The sequence below is a fragment of the Homo sapiens genome, chromosome 9 (assembly GCF_000001405.40).
Source record: "Homo sapiens chromosome 9, GRCh38.p14 Primary Assembly".
Lineage (NCBI taxonomy): Eukaryota > Metazoa > Chordata > Mammalia > Primates > Hominidae > Homo > Homo sapiens.
Window position 1 is genome coordinate 17,057,462 of NC_000009.12, and position 6,592 is coordinate 17,064,053.

The window sequence follows — 6,592 nt, forward strand, 5'->3', positions numbered from 1 at the left end:
ACTCCAGGTATTTTCTCTTTTTGTCCCCCAGCCATCACCACCCATCTCTGTTTGTCCCCCACCCGTCACCACCACCAATCAGAGAACTTTACCTAGACCTCCCAGGTTTGCTTCTTTGGGTTTCCTCTCTTGTCCAGACCAGTTTTTCACTTTATTCCCTTAACAGCCCATCTAGAATTTCCCACAACAATAAAAACTATTATTAACAATTTATTTGGGCTGCATAATTTTACGGAGAATGCATATGCCTATAACTAATTTAGCTAGACTTGTGCATAATTATTCCCTAAGCCATCTCTGACTGAGTTGAAACACAGTAATAGTGCCTCTCCTGTGCTTGGCACGATCCTAATTCTGTAAGTCTATTTACCCATTTAATTCTAATCACCTCCCTAAGAGGCCAGCACTATTGTCACCACAGTTTTACTAACAGGGAAACCAAAGTGGAGCAACACAAAGCACTGTGACCAAAGTCCTGTTATTAGTCAGCAGCAGAGCTGAAATTTGAACCTGGCAATCTAGGACCAAAGTATGCGCTCTTAATGCAAATTAATGCCGTACTGTACCTATAGAGAAGTCAACCAATACCTGTATACTTGGTGTTTAAGGATAAAGGTAAATTTTTTGTGGGTCAAAAAAGCCACTTTCTGGCCTGTACTCTGAGCAGGTGGTTTTAGCTATACCGTAAATAATTTGTTTTGTCTGAATCTTTCAGTTGGTGCCTAGAGTAAAAGAAAAAGAAGATCCTGGCCGAGCACGGTGGCTCACACCTATAATCCCAGCACTTTGGGAGGCCGAGGCAGGCGGATCACCTGAGGTCAGGAGTTCGAGACCAGCCTGGCCAACATGGCGAAAGCTCGTCTCTACTAAAAATACAAAATTAGCTGGGTGTGATGGTGGCGTGTGCCTGTAATCCAAGCTACCCAGGAGGCTGAGACAGGAGAATTGCTGGAACCCGGTGGGGCAGAGGCTGTAGTGAGCCGAGATTGAGCCACTGCACTCCAGCCTGGGCGACAGAGCAAGTCTCCGTCTCAAAAAAAAAAAAAAAAAAAAAAAAAAGAAAAGAAGATCCTAAGTAGGTCGATATATGATTGGCTTGTTTTGATATTCCTGTAGTTCTCAGTTTTCTAAGATGACTCCTTGGCCTCAGCAATTTTCTGGCACAGTGTGAGGGCGTGTACTCAGTCCAGCAATTTGATAGAAAGAGAGAGGACAATGAGAACACAGGTAAAGATAAATATCAAGTGGAGTGAAAGTTGTAGCAACAAAGTGGTCAGACCTAAAAGTGTGTAATAGGTACAGAATTTATATGCCTTTTGAAATCATTTATATATATATATATATATATATATATATATATATATATATATATATATTTTTTTTTTTTTTTTTTGAGACAGAGTCTCACTCTTTGCCCAGGCTGGAGTGCAGTGGTGCCATCTCGGCTCACTGCAAGCTCCACCTCCCGGGTTCACGCCATTCTCCTGCCTCAGCCTCCCGAGTAGCTGGGACTACAGGTGCCCGCCACCACGCCCGGCTAAGTTTTTTGTATTTTTTAGTAGAGACGGGGTTTCACCGTGTTAGCCAGGATGGTCTCGATCTCCTGACCTCGTGATCCACCCGCCTCGGCCTCCCAAAGTGCTGGGATTACAGGCGTGAGCCACCGCACCTGGCTGAAATCATTTGTATTTTTAAAAATTTAGCAGCAATGAAAATAAAGACCTCAAGAAAAGATTAAAAAGTGAGTGTTAAGCAGATTCAGGGAGGTTGCCAATGGCTACCACTTTATCAATGTTCTTTGGAGTCTCCAATGACTTGCTTGATCATTTAACTAATGTCTTCTCATTTCTTTTCCATATAGTCACCCTGAACACATTAACATCAATAATGGTCAGGCCCAGCTGATTCAAACTCTATACATTATAGAGCAGGATATTTTGTTAAGGTAACTAGTAATAAATCAATTTTTAAAAGCCATTTTAGTTATCTGCAAAAATAAGTGGTTTTAGGTTTCAGGTATCATAGTTTTTCAACATACACATTATCTTCTTAAATGGAATTTTGTCTTGGGAACTTTTAACATAAAATTTTTAAGGCTGGAATTATCCAATCGCAAGAGAATCCATTAAAGCAAAGAAAGGGAAAGGCAAATCATGTTCTCTTGATATCTGGCCCAGTTAGGTTGCCAGTTATTGATTTAGTCTGGGATATACTAGCATTAAATCTTCCTCATTATGCAAGTCCTGTGTGTCTTCTTAGCTTCTCTACCTATCCTTTAATCTCTGGGTGCAAACCTAAGTGCAACAGGCACAAAGCACTTTAATATGTCCTGTGTCACTGGGAATACATTTATTCAGAAAATTCCCCCCACCATTATGAGTTGGTTTGGTTTGGAAGGGAATCCTCTTAATAATTAAAGCATCCCATTGTTCACCCCACATAGTGACCTGAACCAAAAGCCATTCTAGATCACAATGATTGTGTTTGTGACTTCTTCTTTGGAACACTAAGAAGAACACTAAGAATGTTCTTCTTTGGAGCAGCCTACATTTTTGAAATCCCCACTGTGAATTATGCATAATAATCTAGGTCAGAGTGACTCCTTCAAGTCTTCTAGGACTTGCTACTCAGAATACGGTCTGTGGACCAGACCCCTCAAAAACGCCAAATCTCAGGCCCCACCCTCAACAGACCAGATCAGAATCTGCCTTTTACAAGAGAACCACTTGAACCTGGGATGGGGAGGTTGCAGTGAACCAAGATCACGCCACTGCACTCCAGCCTGGGTAAAAGAGTGAGACTCCATCTCACAAAAAAGAATCTGCTTTTTAATGATCTCCAAGTGACTGGTATATGCATTAAAGTTTCAGAAGCTCTGCTCTAGTAAGTGGGTACAGAGGATAAGGTCAGTAATTCGGAGCTAATGCAACTGGACAAAGAAGGTATCTTCCTGCAACTCACCCATAAAGAAATAAAAGAATTATCCGTAGGCAATGCTTATACAAGTTATTAGTTTCCAAACAAATTGCATTCTTGAGCTGCAGTTGGGTTTATTTCTGGACAGAATAGCATGAAAGTGTTAAAGAGGATGAAATGATAAGGTAGTGGGTTAATTTGACTGGAGGAGGTTCAATCTGACCAGGTGTGAGGATAAAATCAAGTCTTATCTTTAGCACACTGATCTACTGGCTTTGGTCTTTATCTGTCACTTTTATTCATCATTTTCTTAACTCCCACTGACAACCCACAGATCACCAGACATGATTAGCTGTTAATTGTTTTGGCAAGATGCTTAATATTACCACTTTGACTGTTAGTAGCATTGATCTAGGAACAACTTTTATTTCTTCTTAAAGCATTTCCATGTCATTTTGTAGACTTTCTTTGTCTACGTCATCATAATAAGGAATAAGGCAAAAGAAAGACATATGTGAATAATTTGGTTTTGTAAATATACTACATATGCTACATGTGGGCATTGACTTGAAAATATTCCAGAAAAATCATTTAAGTTGCTAGATTTATGATCATTAATATAATTCTGTCTACTGGACTATAAGCATAATAGTTATAGGGACTATATTTTCTGGATCCAAAATTAAAACAATATATAACCAAGAGCAAGGTATTTAAAATTATATGCGTCCTTGGAAATTTGATGAGTAGGTTAATTATTATTCACTAATACAAAAATGATTCTATAAAAATTTACAAATGACAGGATCACCGTTGAGTTAAATGAAACTCTTTATTTTGGGGTTACATCTCTAATCTTTTTGGGGACACTCAATAATGTATGTTATGGCTTACGTTATTAAGACTTTTAATTGAAGTATAATGCACATGGAGAAAGGCACATATTATCCTAAGTATATCACTTGATACGTTTTCACAGAACAAACACACTCATCAAAAAACGGAATAGAATCAGAACCACGGAAGCCTTTCTTGTGCCCCCTTGTGTTTTTTTCTGCTTTTCCTCCTATGCAGGTAACCTCTATCATGCCCTTTAACAGCACAATTTAGTCAGTTTTGTACTTTTATATAAACAAAATCATACAGCATATTCTCTTTTGTATATGGCTTTTTAATTTCAATATTGTTTTTGAGATATATCAAATTGCTGTATAGAATTCTACTGTGTGAATATACGACACTACGCCTTTTACAGTTGATGGCCATGAAGGCAGTTTTAGTTCTGGGATATTACAATCAATGCTGTTCTGAACATTCTAGTACATATTTTTGGGTGAACATAGATAGGTATTTGTGTTAGGTGTCTATCTGACAGTGGAGTTTCTGGATACGCAGTGTTTCACTTTGGTAGATTCCACGAGCTAAAGGGGTTATATCAATTTACATATCAGTGTATGAGAAATCAAGTCTTCCCACATCCTCTCCAGAAGTTATTATTTTCTGACTTATAAAAAACTTTAGCCATTCTGCATGACTAGTGATACCACATTTAGATTTTGATTTGATTTTTGATATGGCTTACATTTAACCGAGGTTCGAGGAGACTCATGTTGAATCTCTATTATAAGTGGTTGTAGTGCTGCAATCACTGGTCGATTGGGATAAAACTAGGCATGATTTGTGAAATCTAAAATGTTTATTTGCTTAAAAAAATCTACTCTGTGAAGTTTTACTTGAAATTTTTATTATTGACACTTACCCTTCAAGCTCTTATGCAGCTGTGGACCTCTTACCTGAGGTAGATAATTATGCAGCCTGTAGAAATTACTTAAGTCATAACTGAATATGTTTAATTTGATTAACTCATCACCATTATTTATCATGATGGTGAGAAGATCCTTGAAAAGTGGTATGCATGATTTTATTGAAGAGTGTTAGTTAATAGAACAGGGAAGGTGGTAGGTGTATGAGTGGGCAAGGAAGTGCAGAAGTGTCAAGCTCATGGCACTGAATAAATACGTGGAGTCTTTGGGAGGTTGGGATGGCCAGGGGGCCTCCCATCATGGGGTAAAAAGAGTAACCCAAGAGTGTATTATTGCTTTACTAGTCTAGACCATAAACAAATTAGACTTTTACCCCTGATTGGCCCTGAATGCAATAGACAGGTGCAGATTCTTTTGTGTAAAGAGAAAATAGCTGTATACTCCTAGACAGCAAATGTTCATCAACTTCAAATTACACCTCAAATGCTGCTGGTGTCTGGACCATTGATGGATGAGCTAGGTCTTTCCAGGTCTAATGCTGAGTAATGCAAATTAGATTCTCTTGAGTTATGCCTAGTGCAGCTGTAGGGCACAAAACAGTTGCCAGGGACATATCTCCATGCCAAATTCTTGCCAATGTTGTTAATAGTATTGTACCCTGTACATGTGCAAGCACTCTTAGTTTTATTAATGACGATACTATGCTTTTGCCCTTTCTTTCACCTTTTAATTTTTGAATAGAGAATAACTTTGGTTTCATCCTGTTTGGAAAGTAAGTACTAAACTGAAAGGCATGCCCACAGCCTATTCTCCTACTAAGCAAGCAGCGAGTGGGATCAGCTCATTTAAACAGCTCTGCTGTTTCTTGTGGATTTGCATGCTATGGGGAATGGAGGATGTAGAGAAGAGACAGAAAAATGCCTAGGTCTTGTAGCAAGAGAGGAAAGCATCTTCATGGGCAGGAATTCCATTTCTGTGTTTCTTAGGGTTTGTGGCTGGCCATCAGTTCAACTCAGCCCCTGTCCCCTGATCCAGCAACATTTCCGTAACTACCCTCTAGAAGTCATGCAAAGAGAAATGATGACCACAGAAGCCATGATAATCACTTGTTATAAGTGAGCATATAGCAGAAAAAGGGAGAAGATTATTCTCCCTTCTACAATAAGAACAGAAAGATGGCTCTAGATTGAGTTGCTCTTGTGCTATGGCATGTTAGTTTGCAAGCTATATAACAAAAGTAACTGTTAAAATATATGTTAATTGTGGTAGCTCTGATAGGTTTTTTATGTACCTTTATCATGTGCTTCAAAAGCTCTTTTTAACCACATCAATTCAATCCAATTAGTCTCCCCCAAAATATGGGATTACTGGCAAAAATGTGTAATGTTTTGTATGTAATATTACAAAGAGGTACTCAATTTGCTTCCCTCAAATCGTGTCCTACATACTTTATTTAGGTTTCATTTATAATCTCAGATATTGTCTTGTCAAAAAAAATTCTCAGCTGTCTATGATATACAAACATGTAAAAACAGTGTTCCAGTAGAACCTCAGGTGGAACCAATAGCACTGAGACCCACCTAGTCATGCTAACCACTAGAGGGCAATATTGGCCATGTACTTTGGGCTCTAACTCCACCGAGGAGAGCAGTGTAGCTACAGAACTCAATACATACAAATAGTCTTTGTTGAACATCTTATATGTGCTGAAATATTGGCTTGTGATGCCCTTGTACATGAATAAGACTTCATTCTTAATCTTGAGGAGTACATGTTAAAAAAGAAGAGATTATAATCACATATCCATTATGATGAAACCATGAATTGTATTTCAAATTTTGTTTCCATACTAATTGATAGATGATGCACCAATTCAATGCTGATAGCATTAAATAGAGATACAAATATTGCCA